This window comes from Homo sapiens, chromosome 10 (genome assembly GCF_000001405.40).
Source record: "Homo sapiens chromosome 10, GRCh38.p14 Primary Assembly".
Lineage (NCBI taxonomy): Eukaryota > Metazoa > Chordata > Mammalia > Primates > Hominidae > Homo > Homo sapiens.
Genome location: NC_000010.11, coordinates 126,087,565 through 126,106,560, shown reverse-complemented (window position 1 = coordinate 126,106,560; position 18,996 = coordinate 126,087,565). Strand labels below are relative to the sequence as shown.

At 43.9% G+C, this 18,996-nt stretch overlaps 1 protein-coding gene across 5 annotated transcripts in view; it reads left to right on the top strand.

The window, feature by feature from the left end:
• Nucleotides 1-18,996, top strand: part of ADAM12 (ADAM metallopeptidase domain 12) — a 376,087-nt gene that overhangs the window by 281,917 nt on the left and 75,174 nt on the right. For all 5 annotated transcript variants that reach the window (NM_001288973.2, NM_003474.6, NM_001288975.2 and 2 more), the window contains exons 9-11: nt 5,320-5,489; nt 8,061-8,145; nt 12,428-12,576. In NM_001288973.2, the coding sequence (NP_001275902.1) occupies nt 5,320-5,489; nt 8,061-8,145; nt 12,428-12,576 (404 nt within the window). The remainder of the gene's footprint in view (nt 1-5,319; nt 5,490-8,060; nt 8,146-12,427; nt 12,577-18,996) is intronic.

Here is an 18,996-nt window from a genome sequence, read left to right as displayed (position 1 = left end):
TGAGCCGAGATCACGCCATCGCACTCTAGCCTGGTGACAGAGCGAGACTCCATCTCAAAAAAAAAAAAAAAAAAGAAGAAGAAGAAAAAGAAGGGATAAAGGCCTGACCTGACCCAGGGCAGGGGAAGTGGGGAAGTGAGAAGGACAAGGATTGAGAGAGGCTCGAAGGGATGTGTTTCCTGATTATTATTTTTACCAGTTACTGTGTGCCGGGCTCTAAGTGCTTTGCACACACTCTCAGGTACACACTATTGTTCTTATTTTTAAAGCAGAGGAGGCTGAGATGGGCAGAGGTTATTCATTTGCAGGACGAGGGATGAGTGCTAGTCTTGCCAACTCCCAGCAGCAGGGGCTCTTGGCTTTGACTCTACTCCCCCTACTGTGAGTCCCGGGACCTCATGATGACCAAGCAGAGGCTGAGGGCGAGTGGGAGACCACATGACCGCCAGTTTCGTTGGAGTGGAGGGGCAGGTAGACGATGCTTCATACCCCAGGAAAGGGGGAGCAGGAAGAGGAGTTTGAAGGGCACTCTGAACAGTCAGAGATCTGGGTTTGCCACTCAGAGAGAGGCTATGGCTACATGGAACTTTCTGGAAGTCAGAAAAACCCACATGGCCGTTGATATCCTGGGATGATATTGCCCTTGTCCACCTTTGAAGCAGGTCAAACTTCCTGGCAACCCCTGCCTGTTGATGTGTTTTCAGTAGTTACTCTTTGCAGATTCAACTTTATCCCATAGTCCAGGTGCAGGAGAATCCTGGTGAAAGGCAAATCCTGGCAGGGGGGATGAAGGGTGGGTCTTAGAGGAGACATCAAAGATAGCACGGCAGTTAGAACTGGACCTCGGTCTAGACTGGACATTAGAACCCCTGGAGGGGAGTTTGTTTGTCTATTTGTTTATATGTTTACTTTAGGAAATATTGATTCCCACACCTTGGCCCAGGGATTCTGATTTGATTGACCTGGCACAGGGCCTAGGCACAGATATTCTCCAGGGTCCTCCAGTTATCCTAACATGAAGTGGGACTGAGACGCACTGGCCTAGAGGGCGGAAGGCTTAGGTGCCTGAGCTGGGAGCGCAGGTGCCACTCCAAGGTGAGCGAGTTGGACCATTGCCCCAACGGCCTCAGGCTATCCTCAGACTGTCCAACGAGAAGAAAACACGAGTTCTTCTTAGACCTCGGGAGCAAAAGGAAATGATAAACTATATTAAACCCAAACTGGAAATTGCTGAAGCCCCATTTTAAAAAAGGGATGTGTTTGGGTCCTCTGTGTTTGTATTTCTTCACATTTATTCTAGGTTATATCTTGCTTCAGTTTGCAAAACCAAAAATGAGCAATTAGGGGTTTGTTAATAACTTGCACTGGTAATTAAAAAACACTGTGCCTCGGAAAAGTCCTAACGGACTCCGTGGAGTTTGCCGGCCTGGCTGTCCTTGTGTTTCTGGCAGGGAGAGAGCCGATTTGCTGAGCACACAGCTACCCCTGGCCCTGACATCCCTGTCCATCCCCAGCAGACGCCAAAGACCTTGGAGGAGATACCCAGGCCCCCTGGGAGACTTGGTGCTTCCAAGTCTATGAACAGATGACTCCCAGCTCTGTTACACAATTCTAAATTTCAGTTTTTCAACTCTACAAATGAAAGTGTCTCAGTCCAGAAAACAACGACTGTGCCAGTGGCAACTTCCTCATTTGCTGAAGTCTTGGCTCTCCTGGACCATTCTAACTTAATAACTGCTTGCTGCGTGGAGAAAGAGGACATCCTAGACTGGAAAACAGACGAGTGGTTTAGTGATGAAGGTGACATTCTGGAATGTTCAGGAAATCCCCCCATGAGCAAAACACAGAAGGCATGTCTGACACTCATGCTTCTAGGCCAGACGCTGAGAATTTTCCCCGGGTCCTCATTACATTCCCACAGGAGCCCGGGGAGTGCACCTGCCCATGGAGCTATCGTGGAGTTTGCATCTTCCACCCTTCACCTCCAGACTGTCCTCCTTATTCATTAGGAAGTTAGTGTCAGCTGCAAATTCAGGGACCTGCTTCTGAAAGGACTCATCGTCTATGTATTTAATTTCTTTTCTTTCTTTCTTTCTTTTTTTTTTTTTTTTTAGACAGAGTCTTGCTCTATCCCCAAGGCTGGAGTGCAATGGCGCCATCTTGGCTCACTGCAGCCTCCACCTCCCAGGTTCAAGCGATTCTCCTGCCTCAGCTTCCCGAGTAGCTAGGATTACAGGCACCCACCATCAGGCCTGACTAATTTTTGTATTTTTAGTAGAGATGGAGTTTCACCATGTTGGACAGGCTGGCCTCAAACTCCTAACCTCAAGTGATCTGCCTGCCTCAGCCTCCCAAAGTGCCGGGATTACAGGCATGAGCCACCATGTCCAGCCTCTGTGTATTGAATTTCTTAGGATATTTTCACTCATGTGACAGTTTTCTTCTCCTCCTGTCCCAAACCAGTTGCCTGAAGGATGCAGTTTCCTTCATTAGACCCCAGGGGATTCCGCCTCACTGTTTCTTCCCAAAAGTCTCCAGTGCAGCGTCCCTGGACTTCCTATGTGCACCACTGCTTGGCAGTTCACTGTATTGGAGTTAACTGAACTGACAGTTCAGTGTGCCATGCCTTAAGCCCCTGGTGACCTCTGAGCATTTGGGTGGCAGGAGCGAGGGCATCCAAATCTTTGCTCTCTCTGCCACTGCCGGCCCAGCCCACAGCAAGAGGCAAGAAAATATTTGTTGCTGTTGTGTAAACAGGTGAATCGCTTCAGCTGGATCTCTGACTGTGTCCACATATGTTCTGGGCTTTGTAAGTCAGGCAGGCAGCTGCCAAGCTCCATTTGTACAGCAGAGGCCCGTGAGCTTCTCTCCGGGCCTGGGGTCACAGTGGGCCGTCTTGGAAGGGAGTCTTAGTGCTCACAGAAGATGGCAGTGTTACCTAGTGGGTTCAAACATGAGCGTCAGGGTTAGCTGGCCTGTGTTCCAACCCCAGCCATGGAGTTGCAATCTTAAGTCACCTGACTTCTCCAAGCCTCCGTGTCTTTGACTATAAAATAGAAATAATAATAATTCTTAACACATGGAGTTGTTTTCAGGATTAAGCCACAGCACAGAAACCACCGTGGCATCATGCCTGTGATGCAGTAATGCTCACTAAACATTAGCTGTGGTGGTGGTTATTAGGAAGAATCAAAAGGAACCCGTCAGCAGCCCTGGAAAGAACTTTTAGAGCAGGCAGCAAAGGCATCATGTATGATGACTTGATGTGAGTTTAGCATAAATGACAGTCAAACAATGGCACTAATTTTGGAGAGGGGAGGTTGTCTGTTATATTACTACTAAGTATGAAATCTGTTCTAAGGATGTGGTTTGAGAAGCCTAGTAGGTGGAGATGCAAAACCCATCATTATCATGAAAAGCTCCTTGATGAGGAAGCAGCAAACCTAGCACTAAGGAATGATGACAATTAGTCCTTTGCTGACCTTCATTACTGGCTCCATGCAACACTCCTGGGAGGCAAACCTAGTGTCTCCTTCCCAGATGCCAACCCTGAGCCCACGCAAGGTGTCTGACCCCAAGGACATCTCTTAGCAAGCTGGTGTGAGCATCAGCATTGGATCGCCTCCGTTTCTGCTTTCTGATCACTGTTACCTTTGTATATAATAGAGCTGAAAATGTAATCTCTCAGTGGACAGCAGCCAAACATGTGCATTCAGAGTTCCAGAGCCGGCCAGGAACTTACTTTCGCCCCGGAAGCCTGGGCTGGGAGTTTGCAAGTAGATAGCGTGGGCCATGCAATTCTTGATTGAAAACAAACTGTTGGGCTGTGTTGTAGTCATGTAATCGTCTCGTTAACTCATTAATGTAATGTCTGTAATTGTGATCTGTTTGAAACCAAGTTGGACCAATGCAATCAGCATATATTCTGTGATGCACTTTGTATCCTGGTCATATTCTCCTGCTAACCCAATGCTCACCAGATGACTGTGGGGACCAGCAAGGGAAAAGATGAGCTCACCTTATGTGGGTTAGAATCTAGGGTCAGATGTTCAACTTTGAGCAGTTTCTTCTACTTTAGTTCACCATGTTGGAATGGTGCCTAACTAGCAAATGCAGAACTTCTATAAGTTTTGTTATTGGCCAGATGCTTCCAGCAACTGAGAATAGGACCTGCTTTCATCTGGTGCTTGGCTTTGGCTGCTATCACTAGCCACCCTTTTCTCCGTGGCTACCTGGGATCTCAGAAGATGAGGGCTTTCTCCCTGTGTGCTGCCTCATACACTAGGGGCATTGAAAGATTTGACAGCCCACCAGGTGACACCATGTCCTAGCCCCCTCAACCATGAGTACAAAGCCATCTGCTTGTCTATGTGATGCCTATGAGGACAATGGGTAGGTCATACCTCTACCCTGACCGCTCATCCTGGCCCTCTGAACTCCTATGAGACAAAGCCATCCCTTAGTCCCTGGAGGAGTTGCTTTTCCCTGCCCTGACCCAGAACGACCTGCCTGTAGGTGTAGTCAGGTATGGGCCATAGGCTGAAGTCAGGAACACCCAAAGATGGTGGGGGCAGGCAGGGGAGTGAGAAGTCTTGCTTTCAGTGGTGTGCCGGATGCTTTGTTTCACAGGCGCATAAAAGAGGAACTTCATTTAACAGACCTTTCCATGACACTGTTGGTGAGCTAACTTCTGGCTGTGGGGAGGATAGTCATTAATGTTCCTGAAGAAGGGCTCTGTTTATGCCTTTGTTATTCTGAAAGATATTGACTTCTTTATTTTATTAAAACCTGCGTTGATTATAGGTGACAGAATATGATAGTGTTAGCCAGAGCTGAGACTTTGCTGAAAAATTAATACAGATTCATTTTCAGTAACTAATAAGCAGAACATTTTGCTCAAAATGAACAAGTTATTGTCCTTGGCAGAAGTGTCTGAAAGATCCTAATTCACTTATTGTTTCACTTGCAGTGGATATTAACTGGCCATCTTTAGCTATAATACACATCTGTATGTACATTTTAAATCACCAGTGAGTCATTTGAAATGTATGCTTCCATACAAATGCAAGTAGACAGTAAAAAAGCTGATAACTTCAGCATCTAATTGGTCAATCTTCGAGAACCTAGTTAACACATCACTTTGCATTAGGCACTGCAAATATTTCTTAAATTCCAACACCACAGGAACCAAAGAGCACAGAGATATTTTTCTCACCTGTGTCAGTGACCCTCAAATAACGCAAATCTGTTCTAATTTTCATTTCGAGTTTTTATTAACGTGATCCCAACTCCAATGCCAGTTTTGCCTGTTTTGCCCAGTTTTACAGACCACTGAACATTCGGATCGTGTTGGTAGGCGTGGAAGTGTGGAATGACATGGACAAATGCTCTGTAAGTCAGGACCCATTCACCAGCCTCCATGAATTTCTGGACTGGAGGAAGATGAAGCTTCTACCTCGCAAATCCCATGACAATGCGCAGCTTGTCAGGTAGGGAGTTACGTCTTGTCTGCTTAAAAAAAAAAGGAGTGCTCTCGGCGAAGCCCTTCGTTTCACCTGCACAGCCCCAGGAGCTGCCACCTTTCTGCAGAGCACACTGCCTTGTGCAAGGGGGCTTCTCAGCTCACACCAGGGGGGCAGATGCCACCCTCACCTGGAACTGAAGGTCTGCTAGGAAAGTCTCCCTCTGAACACCCTGGAAAACCTGTCCCTCTACAGAACTCTCATTTCCTTCTTCTAGAACCCGGACATTTTCTTCTATACCAATTTTTCTGATTTTAGCTGTGATGTAAAGTTGTTCTGAGTAGCCTATTTTTTTGTTTTGTTTTTTGTTTGTTTGTTTGTTTTTGAGACAGAGTCTCTCTCTGTCACCAGGCTGGAGTGCAGTGGCATGATCTCAGCTCACTGCAACCTCCAGCTCCCTGGTTTAAGTGATTCTCCTGCCTCAACCTCCCGAGTAGCTGAGATTACAGGCACACGCCACCACGCCCAGCTAATTTTTGTATTTTTTTTTTTTTTTTTTAGTAGAGACAGGGTTTCACCATGTTGGCCAAGATGGTCTCAATCTCCTGACCTCATGATCCGCCCACCTCGGCCTCCCAAAGTGCTGGGATTACAGGCATGAGCCACCGCGCCAGGCCGAGGAGCCTGTTTTTAAAGATTCATCATTATTAGTGGAAAATGTATGTTTATACAATATCTAAGGACAGTACTTTGGGTGAATACTGTCAGATTCCTGGAGGGAAAAAAGACTTTATTCCTCCTCCTGTTGTGGCTGTGACTCTTTGGTTTTCTAGATCAGAGAATACCGGGAAGCATAGCACATTAACCTTGTGTTCCCTCTTTAAATCAATATGCATCACCCGTTAGGAACCAAAGAGTGTTTGGGGGGCTTTGAACACAGTGGTGACCAACACTGTAAATCTCCCTGCTCTCAGAAGTCTCCACTCTACTGAGAGACAACAATAAAGAGGACAATTTCAGCAGGATCAACTGGAAGATGATAAACTAAGGCAAAGCATAGCTCTATTATAACACAAAAATTGTTGAGATGTTGCCGATGCTTTTATACTTAAAAAAAAAAGGAACAATCTAAATTAGTATGAAGTAGATGTTTCTAGAAGTGACAAATTTTTATTTAAATCTTTAAATACTTTGTGCTATTATTCTTTTGTTGTCATGTGGCTTATAGCACAGAAAGGAAAGCTTCTGGGACAGAGACTTTCCTTTGACAAACCCAATGTAGCTATTGAACATTTGTGGAAAGTTAAAAAACCAGTCCTACCCCATTGTCACTTCAGAAAATGCCTACGTCTGAACTGAGGCTGTTGGCATTCTTTGATAATTTACTTCGGCCATTTTCACAGGGTTCCCCCCTGCCCCTACCCTTGGATATTTGTGGTTGCCTCACATTTTATGCATTGATTAGTCTTGAACTACTAAAAGTACATTTTATGTATTTTGAGTCAGAGTGTTTTGATATTTTTCCCAAATGGAGTCTGTCCAACTTGAACATCTGGAAATAAATTATCATCTTATGTAACTTTATTATTTATATACATGTATAATTATATCTGTTCATATAGTCTATATAGATGTAAATAAAGGCCGAAATTTCTACCACTGTAAATATAAGTATAGTGGGATAGGTGGATAGAGAGGGAGGGAGGGAGAGAGGGAGGGAGAGAGGGAGGGAGGGAAGGAGGGAGAAGGTTTTATATACACTTACCACTTTCTGTTCAATTGACCATAGCTAAAATATCTAACTTTTCAAACAATATATCTGTATACATACATGGCCAAGATAGCATTGGTAAGTCATTTGACTCCTTTAAAGGAAATTCAACAAATACAGCGTTTTGTTTTTCATGCATGAGGTTGGAATTAACAGCACTTGTGTTCAACAGGCCCTTGGTGTCATTAGATTCATGATCAGGTTAAGATTCCAGATAGAAGGACGACTGCATTGAAGCCATGAAGTCCCCTTCCAGAAGCTTCCTCCCTAGGTGCCAAGGCTTTGTGGGTGCTCACTTGTTCTACACCGGCTCCAGGGTTGATAATTTTTCTGCCCATTTCAATTTTGCAAGCTATCTTAGCGGGACAATTTGAAAGAATTTGGGTGTCTGGCAGAACTGTAGTAAGTTACCCAGGAAAGCAGTTAAGCTATGGTGAAAATCTAGTAAACCATCTAATGCATTTCTTTTAGTTAACAGTGATTCTCTGTGACTATTTTCAGCCTTTCCATCAGCAGACATTGTTTAAATGGAGCAGCTTCCTACAGTCCATTAGGAAATAGGCAGATTACAACTCATAAGTACAAAAGTAATAACTAGTTGTCATCTGAGTCTTGAAAACAAAACTCTAAAAAATGACAGAACCATGACGCAACTGCAGAAATAAAATTTTCAGGGAAAAAAGATAAAATCACATGTGAATATACCCTCATACAGCTATTTTTATTTTTGCGTATTTTATTGCAGGAATATCCAACAGAATTTTTAAATATTAGAGAATGCCCCCGTTCTAATTTGATTAAAGAAAGTCCTCTCTTTTATTTCCTAGTGGGGTTTATTTCCAAGGGACCACCATCGGCATGGCCCCAATCATGAGCATGTGCACGGCAGACCAGTCTGGGGGAATTGTCATGGTAAGCCAAGGGCATTGGGAGCTGGTTCCCCTTGATAATGATTCCCCAGGAAGTCACTACTTTTATCAGACTTTGTGAAGATAGATCCTTTCCTTTAATGCTTTTTAGATTTAACTCTATTTTTACTGTAGCTGTATTTATAATTTTATATATCCCACAGTGTTTTAGGAACCATTTAAAAGCAAATTGCACACAGGAAAGGTGGGCATGTAAAATAGCTCAGCAGAGGCAAGCCTACCTCTTTTATGGAGAAACATTTTCAACCAGGACTTTCCAAACCAGGAATTCCTCGCAGCACTGGGGTGAGCCAGGGCATTGGGGTTGCCCTCGTCATGCAGCTGTTGGGACGCCCTGTGGTCTCACCAGACGTTCCCGTTTGGATGGTTTTCTGATGGTTCTGTCTCCAAGCCCAATGGCCCAAAGTCTGAGGTTTTTAGCTTTTTACCACTGCAAATGCTTTACATGCCTTCTGGCCAGTATACAGTTTGTCTTTAAAATAACCTTATTCTTGGAAGTCAGAAACCCAGGTTTATTGCTTTACAAGGACCATTTTGTCATATATAAGCTATATATGTTTGTGAAAGGAAATACAGTGGGAAAACTATTTGGGTCTCGTTATGAATGTAGGAGGGAGGTAGCTTTGATAGGCTTGCCAGCAGGGGGCTTGTGCTCCACTTCATCAGATAATTAAAGGAGAGGTTTTCACCCTATGCTGTCCCTGCTCTGAAAATTTAGTGTCTCCTCTGCACCAGACCTCAGACAGGGAGTATCCTCAGAGACCATTCTTCCATCTCCATTAAACAAATAGAACCCTGCCCTCCCAAGAAACTGTGAGTTCCTCCATGTTTTTTAAACAGAACATGTGTGAATGTTCAGTTGTATTACATAGTGGAAGGAGTTATGTTCTGCTGATGATTACTTTCTCTCCACCTACTGCCTAATCAGATATTCTTCATGAATATACGGAACCAACATTTCCCTCTTCTGTGGGTTCAGAGATTGGTCATTAATGTAAGCCTGCACTAAGGGTCAAAGCTGCGTGGAGGGATTGCCCCCACTTACTGGATTTCTGGCTTGAGTGGTGACTGCCTTGTTTTCTGTGGACCTGGAGGCCCTGCATGTGATCTCCACCATGGCAGGTCCTTGGCAAGTTTGGTTTTTGTGATGCCAGGTTCACTTCAAGTCAGATCCCAACTCTATTTTTACAGAGCAGACTGTACATTTTTAAGAGGGAATAATTTTCTGTTTCATGGTTCCATGGTCAGTTGCTACTGACTTTGCCACTTCAAGTTGGCATCATATTTTTTTTAGAGCTGGAACTCAATTCTTCATAAGCATGGTAAGTTCTGCTGCTGTGCGGTGCTGAAATGGGCCTGTAACCCATCTCACCAGAGTAAGCGGCTTTCTTCAGCTCGTGTCCCTTATTCCATTTCCATACAAGCATTTGATGAAAATTCCTTCTTTAAAAGGATACAGGGAAGGCTATTTTTAAAAAAGGTATATGAAAATGAATGTGGGAAATATAAGCAAATTATGTGTCATGCAATAAGATTCAATTGAAGATCAAAGTTAATTATCAGGAAATATGTTTTAGCAATTTGACAGCAGTTAACATCATCCTTAGACACACTGCTTACACGTTCCACATATAACAGAAACATCAAATAGGATAAAAATGCCTCAGCACCTTTGATTTCTACAAAAGTCATGAAATCAGCAAGATCAACATCTTGACCAGACCAAAAACTTCTAGACTCACTTTCTTCTCCTGTGTCTGTAAAGTTACATTCACGGGCATCCCGTGTGACTGTGCTTCATTAGAGGACCACAAATCTAAGAGGAAGGAATCAATGTAGCAAGGAAGCAGAGATCCTCATAAAATTGAAAACAGGATTGTAGTACCATTTCTGTATTTTCCAATATAGAGCAAATCATTAATTTTAGTGACTGAAAGTCATTCCTTTTTATCTAACTGGCCTAAAACAGCCTTGCTTTGGAAATAATATTAATAACATGAATAAAGAGATATTTTTTCTTACTACAAATGTAAACTGTTTATCAAGGTCTTTTAAGAGACATTCTGTTTATAATCATTGATGCATGAAAGAATGTAAAACAATCTGGCAACTAAAAACCAAGACATTCAATGACACAAAAGAATCAGAAGAATATTTTTTAAGGGTGAATTCCTTGAATTTTGTGCCAGAGCATGGTAACTTCAGCCCCTATGTTCTTAGACTGACTACATTCTCTTCACCATTGTGTTATTTTCGAGAACCGATTTCCTGAAACATATTTGTAAACTTCCTACAACAGGAAACTCTAAAATCTAAACAAAGTAATTTATTAGGAATTTCATCTACTGTAAGATTATCTTGGTTCCTTGATATGCTATTGTTTTCTTAGACAGAAGCCTCATTGTAAACACTGTCAACAAACCTGTAAGATCTTACATGAGCACACTTTTATCCAGGAGCCTCACACAGACTGTATCAGTGTGCTCTCTGAAATTCAGTATCATATTTGTTTTAGCCCATTTTCTGTTGATTCTAACAGAATACTTGAAACTGGATAATTTATAAAGAAAGGGAATTTATTTCTTACAGTTACAGAGGCTGAGAAGTTCAAGGTAGGGGGGCACACCTGATAGGGCTTCTTGAGGGTGAGGACTCTCTGAAGAGTCCCAAGGCAGTGCGGGGGATCACATGGCAAGGGGGCTAAACAAACTAGCTCAGGTCCCTCTTCTTCTTATAAAGCCACTGGTCCCACTCTCATGATAAACCATGAATGCATTAACCCATTAGTCCATGAATGGATTAATACATTATGAGGGCAGAGTCCCCATGACCCAATCACTTTTTTTTTTTTTTTTTTTTTTTTTTGAGACAGAGTCTCGCTCTGTCACCCAGGCTAGAGTGCAGTGGTGGGATCTTGGCTCACTGCAAGCTCCGCCTCCCGGGTTCACGCCATTCTCCTGCCTCAGCTTCCAGAGTAGCTGGGACTACAGGCGCCCGCCACCACGCCCGGCTAGTTTTTTGTATTTTTAGTAGAGACAGGGTTTAACTGTGTTAGCCAGGATGGTCTTGATCTCCTGACCTCATGATCCCCCTGCCTCAGCCTCGCAAAGTGCTGGGATTACAGGCGTGAGCCACTGCGCCTGGCCTGACCCAATCACTTCTTAAAGGCCTCACGTCCAATACTGCCATATTGGGATTAAGCTTCAGCATGCGTTTTGGAGGGAACAAACCTTCAAAGCATAGCAGCACTGTTTCTTGGAAGCCTCTTGGAAAACATCTTATCTCTTTCCTAAGTAGCACAAAGCAAGATTCAAACAGGGTATTTTCCTTACTCCATGGTATACAGGCCTTTTCAGAAATGTTGTATATAGGCACTGTTTCTGTAGATCATATATGCTAATTAACTAATTTCAGTTTGTAAAAGTTAAGTAACTATATTTTTTAGTTAATTTCTAGTATCTGTTTGAGCCAAGCCATCCAGGCACTCCACTAAGTTAGGGGTGGCCAAGTAGTGCTTGTTGAATGGAGAAGCCGCCTTCCATATCCAAGCAAAAGGTTAATGAACCCCCAGCCGCAAGAGTCAGAGAATCGGGACACCTCCCATTTCCAAAGTCTGCCTGGCAACACAAAGAGCCAGCAAGAATAAGATATAGCTGGTTTATAATCTTAAATGAAATGAATGGCTCTTCAAACAGATGACTCAATGTGGTCAGATTTATTATGAAGTATTGTGAATTTTCCAACTGTCCTCCCCGACCAAGCACACAGGAAGAGGCAGGCTCAATGACAACCTCTCAGGGCTCATTTAGAATGTCATTAAGCGTGCTTGCACCTGTCACCTTTATATCAGCATCATCTCAATCAAAGGTAAAATGATACTTCTATGGCCCATGAAGGAATGAGCTTTTCCTATGATGCAGGATGACTTTTTGCTTCATTCAATGGAAGAGTTTTGTGGGGCAATTGTAGGAAGCAGAATGGAGACCCTGCCTTGAAGATGTCATGTAAAAACATAAAGAATCACACATGTATACGTGCGGCATACAGACATTCCTCAGCCGAAAGGACCCCAAACTGGCTTAATGAAATGTCAAATTATATCTTTTTAAGTTTAAACTAAATGATAGCGTTTTACCTTGGTCCCTTATAAGGAATTACATTAAGTCAAATGTTAATGAAAGGTATATTTCTGTGGGGAGGGAGACCTGGGAAATAAGGCCAAGGAGATATGAATTATACACCTGTACTTTTGTGTTTTCTTTGAGGACCATTCAGACAATCCCCTTGGTGCAGCCGTGACCCTGGCACATGAGCTGGGCCACAATTTCGGGATGAATCATGACACACTGGACAGGGGCTGTAGCTGTCAAATGGCGGTTGAGAAAGGAGGCTGCATCATGAACGCTTCCACCGGGCAAGTACCATTGCTTCCATCTGCTTTGACAGTGTGCATGGCTTGAAGTGTGTGTTGGGAACCAGATGAGTCAAAGTGTCTCTGGTTTTCTGGTCAGAGCACCCAGGGAAGCTTCCAAAAAGTAATTCCTTCCCAAGAAGCAAGGGTGGCCTGTGCTACTCTGGAGAGCCATGGGCAGCCAGATGGCAATGCTACATGGTGTGTACAAGGAAGAGGGCTGACCTTTTCCTTGAGGAATGGTGGGCATGGATGCTGTCTGTGTTTAGAAATCGCTAATTATCTTCCTGTCCCAGCAAGTGTTTTTTATTTGAGCCTACGGCTCCAGCTGCCAGGCAGTCCCAGGAGCCAGCCATCTGAAAGCCTGGGCAGTGGAGATGGGCCACATGTAAACTCACTGGGCAGAGTGGAGATGGGCCACATGTCTTTAGAGGGTGCTGGGTAGAAGGTATTTCTTTCCCCAGGGTTGGCCCTAGGGTGTCTCTGAAGTCGGTAGCTTGGGGGTTTGTAGTGTCTCTGCCCTGACATCACCTTACCAGATCTTAGAGGTTTAAATGAAATGATTTCTCTGCTTTGGTATATTACAATGCTGTTCCTTATTTAATGCTTTCCTGACACTCCCGACTTGGTTCAACCAGAAAAGAGCAAGACAGTTCCATTATTTGGAGTGTTCAAACGAAGTGGAAACAGATGCACCTTGGAGGGATTAGAGATTCAGATGTGTTCTTATATCTATAAAGGGCCTATCCCAAACTAGAACTTTGTGCTAGTTTAAGAAGATTCTCATTAGTAACGGGAAGCATGCGCTGGATACAATGCTATCTTCTTTATTATACCTTGAAACCTTATGAACACTGACTTTCATGGAACATTCCAGCCCAAGCCTGCTCTCTGGGTTTCCCAAAAGGAGACACTGGGGCAAGAGGCAAGTGCTCTGAGCAGCCCAGTGACTCATCTCTGTGAAGACTTGCTGGCCAGGGGACAAGCGTGGTGTGAGGGGATACCTGCTACTGCGGTTTAAAAGACCCAGTAGAGGGAGGAATTGTTAAAGAATGTGTCTGTGCTTTTTCAAGCAATAGCCTTGTGGGCCTCCTGGGAAATAGTTTGTAGGGCATTGAGTTGCCCTTGAAACAAGAACTGAGCAGAACCACACAGCTCATCAGGGGATTGTCCTTTCATGGGAGCCATCAGGAGGCATCTTCTTACAGCAAGTGACTGATTCCTCATGTTCATCGCCCCCATTTGGGCAGAGGCTTCAGGGGCATCTTTCTGTTTGTGGTTCCCTCTTAAGCATAATTCAAGGGAGTCACCAAGACTTTGTTGAGGAAGTTGCTTTGTGAGTGTGTAATGACAGAAACCAAGGATCTGTACACAAAGTCAAAGTACTAACCGATAGGAAATGAAATATTGCAAAACTCAAGATACTAACATGTGTGTCTCTCCAAAAGGGAGGCCACCCTAAAAAGTAATATGTTCCTAGTCACTAAAGGTGTCTGAGAGGAAGCACAGTAATTGTTTGCTGGACATTTGGGGCAAGGATTTCCTTCTTAGGGTATAAGGTTGGGCCAAGGGCCTATAGATGCCTTCTGTTTCCAACATTTCACAAGCCCTGATCGCTATGCTGGGCCACACGCTGGGTGACTTTCAGACAGTGAGTTTGGCAGGAGACTGATGTGCAACTGAGTGGCCTTCGTGTTTTCTCACTCTCAATGAACTCATAGCCATAGAAAATGCACTGTGTGTCTAATTTCCCTGATCATCAGATGGGCACAAATACATTAGCCTATGGGCCTCCAGAAATGGTTTCCCATGACTAAGAAGATCATATTGTTAATATTGTTAATGTTTTTTAATTATTGATAAACCAATGGAAGAGAGGAAAACCTAGATCAAGAACACTGGACTTGAAGAGATCTGGTTGTCCCAATTCTCACACCATTTTTTAAAATAATATAGGCAGTTTAGTAACCCCCTGGCTCTTACATTCCTCATCAATAAGATGAGTGAGTCAGTCTTCATCCACCCATCCAACCATCTATCCATCCACCCATCCACCCTTCCTTCCTCCTTTCTTTCCATCTGTCTCTCCACCCACTTGTTCACATATTAAACAAATATTTTTGACCCCTGTGCTCGTGGGGAGGAATGCACAGATGATGAAGACTCTACAGCTCTAAAAATTATATAATTCTGAAGGCACAATAGCAAGGCATATTTTCTGGCACTCTATATGGTTTTATCTAAATCCTTTCCAATTGGAAAGTCTTCATGGCAGTGCTGAAGAATGCAAGCCAGATCGCCCCAGAGATATTTGAACACCGTAGGTAGAAATGGTATTGTTAAGAGCTCGACAAATCATTTAAAAGGCTTTTTTTTCCCCCATTACCAGGGGTTTGCTAATAGCCTTTATTTGATTTATACCATATTAGCAATTTCTGAGTTTTCTCTTTTGCTGAGCTTGTGCTTTTGTATAAATCTTTTCTATTTGCTTCTCATTTATGATCCCACATTCCTGTCCAGAGAGTGGTGTTTTTAATTTTCTCAGATGGAAAGCAACTTCCTAAGCAAGTAGGTGAATTAATCACAAAAGCCCACAGTGAGGGGGAGGTCGAGCGGCTCAGTCAACCCTCAGTCATCCATCACCCGTGGTGGAGTTTTCCCGGCTGCTCCGGTATTATCTCAAAATGGTGGTTCTCTTACCTCATAGTGTCTCCGAGAGAGTGGGAGAATGGACTCAATGAGATCACATGTCTGTAAATTGTAAATCATTCCACAAAGGTAGTATATTATTACTTAGCTTACAGGGGTTTTGGAACTATCAAAAAGTTAAAGGCTTTTTTCAGAATTCCTACTCATCATTGCTGGAAAGACTCCCAGTGCCCTTAGCAGTCACTCAGCAGCATGTCCACAGTTTCCGTGTGATGGCTCACTTTAAACTGGCCCACATCCAAACACCAGCCAGCCTGTGTCTTCCTCCTCCCACCACTGATGGAGGCTTGGGGATGTCAGTTAAATTCAGTCTCAGCTCCAAAGGTGATTCAGAGATGAATCAGTAACTGCTTTAATGATATTAACATCTCAGAATCAAAAAGAACCAAGTATTGTAGATGGCTTAAAGGAGAAAAGTATATCCCTTCATATACCTTGTTTATTCTTTATCAAAACATTCCAGAATCCTAACTCTGAAAACATTAACCAATTGCTGTCACTGACAAATGGGACCTGAGGCCTGTAAATACAAGGATAGAGTCCTATTTCAACTTAAGACTTGTGTGACTTCAGTTGCACATTGCAGGGATGGTTGGAGGGGGTTCCTTATGGATTGTATCATTAATTACTGCAAGGCTTTAAGTGTGTGTAAGAGTGTGTGTTTTATGTCTCTAAACATTTAAGACCTGTCCTGGAAATGACTCTTTGGCAAAAGCAGTATCTGGGGATTCATGTGGGAGTTTAACTCAGTTGAGTTTATCCATTAATGAGCTTGGAGCCCTTGGTCTTAGGGAGGTGAGGGCTACGTATGCTGCATTTATAGGAGTAAGAAAATTGTGAATGACTTGAACACTCATAGCAAAGAATATTTAGCGTAATAGTAAATGTCACTTCCTAGAGTAGGAAAAAAGGCAATATTAACATTCAAAAAATGACTCTTACAGATTCCTTTTTTTTTTTTTTTTTGCAGAAAGTTTCTGTTAAATGAGAGTTGGAGGAATAGGGCCATCTCCTCGGGTGGGGTAGGTGAATCTGCAAGTCATATTCACCGAGCCCCTGCCACTGTTACACACTGATAGGTGTTAGGGACACAGCTGTGAACAGGACAAGCCTGTTTCTTGCCCTCTTGGAACTGGTGTTCTAGTGGTGAAAAGAGTTGAAAAATGGAAAATTTAAAACTTGCAGTTTGGGCCAGGTGTGGTGGTTCACACCTGTAATCTCAGCACTTTGGGAGGCCAAGGCAGGAGGATTGCTTGAGGCCAGGAGTTCAAGACCAGCATGGGCAACATAGCAAGACCCTGTCTCTATTTTTAAAATAAAAAAATAAAAGTAATAAATTGCAGGTTGGAAGGAGTGCTGTGAAGGAAGCAAAGGAAGAGGACAAAGAGAGGAAACATGGGGTGAGGGAGCCCACTTTAAGTGGGGGTTTGGGGGAGGCCAAAAGGAAGACAGGGATGGAGAGCCTGCAAAGCATGGAAGGAAGGGAGTTCAGGTGCAGGGGACCATGGGCCTGTGGGCGCTGTGGGGACACCTTGCTGCCAGGAGCCTTGGGGCTGTGGGGGGCTGGAGGGAAGTGATGCTGGGTAGAAATGGAGGAACCAGAGCCAGCAAAGCCCAGTTGGCCAGAGCAGGAACGTGGATTCTTATCTGCAGAGCAGCGGGACATCATTGAAGCTTCTCAGGCAAGATAGGAATATGATCTGATTTATCTTTTAAGGTTTCCTCATTTTTAAGAAGACCATGCAGCCTCTGAGATATTGTAGTTTGCCAAGTTAAGGGGTTTTCTGTCTGTACAAAAAAGAAGAGGGAGGCTTCCTTTAGAAGAACAAGTAATAATAGTGTGTGAATTCTAGTTTAGTTCTGGTGTAATTCATAGGCATTTGGAAACTGTGAAGAGGAAGGATCCTTCACCAGCACACTCGGTGCTCATCACGCCACGCTCCACACTCACCTCTCCAGCCTTGTACACTTGATGTAAAATATTTCTTTTGGTTTGAGATTTCTTTTTCCTTTTCCTATAGTGAGCATCCTTTAGGGATTCTGTCAGAGAGCCACCAAGGAGCACATTCACATTTTCTTCATGTGTATCTGAAAAGAATTGTTGCCACAGTTGTCACACGGATGCTGAAATCAGGAGTTTGGGCCTGTCTGGGTTTTGCTGGGTCTATACTGGCAAATGGCTTCAACTGACGAGTGTGTCCCCAGCTGCCAACTGGGAGTTGGGGCGGGCAGCGTGTTCGTGTTGTGCACTGAGGATAATGTGGGATGAGAAAATAAGCAAATGAGGGTTACCCCCTGCTCTCCTGGGGTGCAAATCATTCACATTAAGCTGAGGTCAGACCTTCTGCAATCTACACCCAGATCAAATGACCACGTTTAAGGAGAATGTGTTGCCATCCTACTTCCCCGCAAGCATGTATAACTGGCCCATTCGATTACATTTAATTCCATTCAGGACACATTCATGGCACACCTGCCTGGACACGGAACACAAACAGATGTGTCCCCAGGTCTAGGTGGCCTCCACCCAGGTCAGCCTTCTCTCTCTCTTTTTGTTTTTGTTTTTTGAGATGTAGTCTCTCCCTGTCACCCAGGCTGGAGTGTGCAGTGACACAGTCTCGGCTTACTGCAACCTCTGTCTCCCAGGTTCAAGCAATCCTCCCACCTCAGCCTCCCGAGTAGCTGGGATTACAGGCACACACCACCATGCCCAGCTAATTTTTTTTTTTTTGGTATATTTAATAGAGATGGGGTTTCATCATGTTGGACAGGCTGGTCTTGAACTCCTGACCTCAAGTGATCCGCCTGCCTCAGCCTCCCGTAGTGCTAGGAATGCAGGTGTAAGTGACCATGCACAGCCTCGGCCTTCTCTAATGACATCAGAGAAGACAGCAGCCCTGCCCCTGACTCAGGACAAGCTTGCTACAGGAAATGAGGTCAACAGACGCGCAGCTGGCCACCAGGCAGAGCAAAGCCACTCATTTACTCCACTAGTATTTACTGTGTACCCTCTAGAGGCCAGATCCTGGGGAGCAGTTTCGGAGCAGGCACAGAAACACAAGGCAGGATCCTTGACTTCAGGGACCTCACTGCAGGGTACCTCATCAAATCTGCTTACACAGTCCGGGTATCAAGCACCATCTAGAAGTGATTTCAGTGTGGGCCTCTAAAAGACAGAGAGAAAAATCTATAACCATAACATCATTTCACATCTTTTAAAAAGCGACCAATAATTTATTGCAAACAGGGAGCAAAGGTTAGAAGAGGCAGCAGGCAGAAAAGATATCCTGGAATAGAGTCCAGTCTAAACCGATCTCGGAAGAATTAAATACAGGCTGGGCAGACCGCTCCCTGAAAATTCCTACCTCATACTGTGGGAAAACTGGATTTCTCTTGGAAGAGATTTCTGCCTGAAAAGGTGTTTTAAGAGGGTAAAATGAACTGCAATTTTCAGTGAAAAAAATCCCCCAAGGGCTTTGGAAGTGGTAGGAATTGATAGAAATTCAATGTAGCGGGAAAGTCCACACTCTGTAGAACTTGCTTTCCTGAAAATCAGTGGACAATACATATCGTTAGAATTCTCCCTCGAACTTTGGGGTGCTGTTGGAGATTATGAAATACATTTGTCATGCTGGAATTTTACCAAGATGGAATTGAAGGGAATTATTTTTCCATCTTAACTCTTCATTTGAGAGTGATAATTTTTTTCTCAAT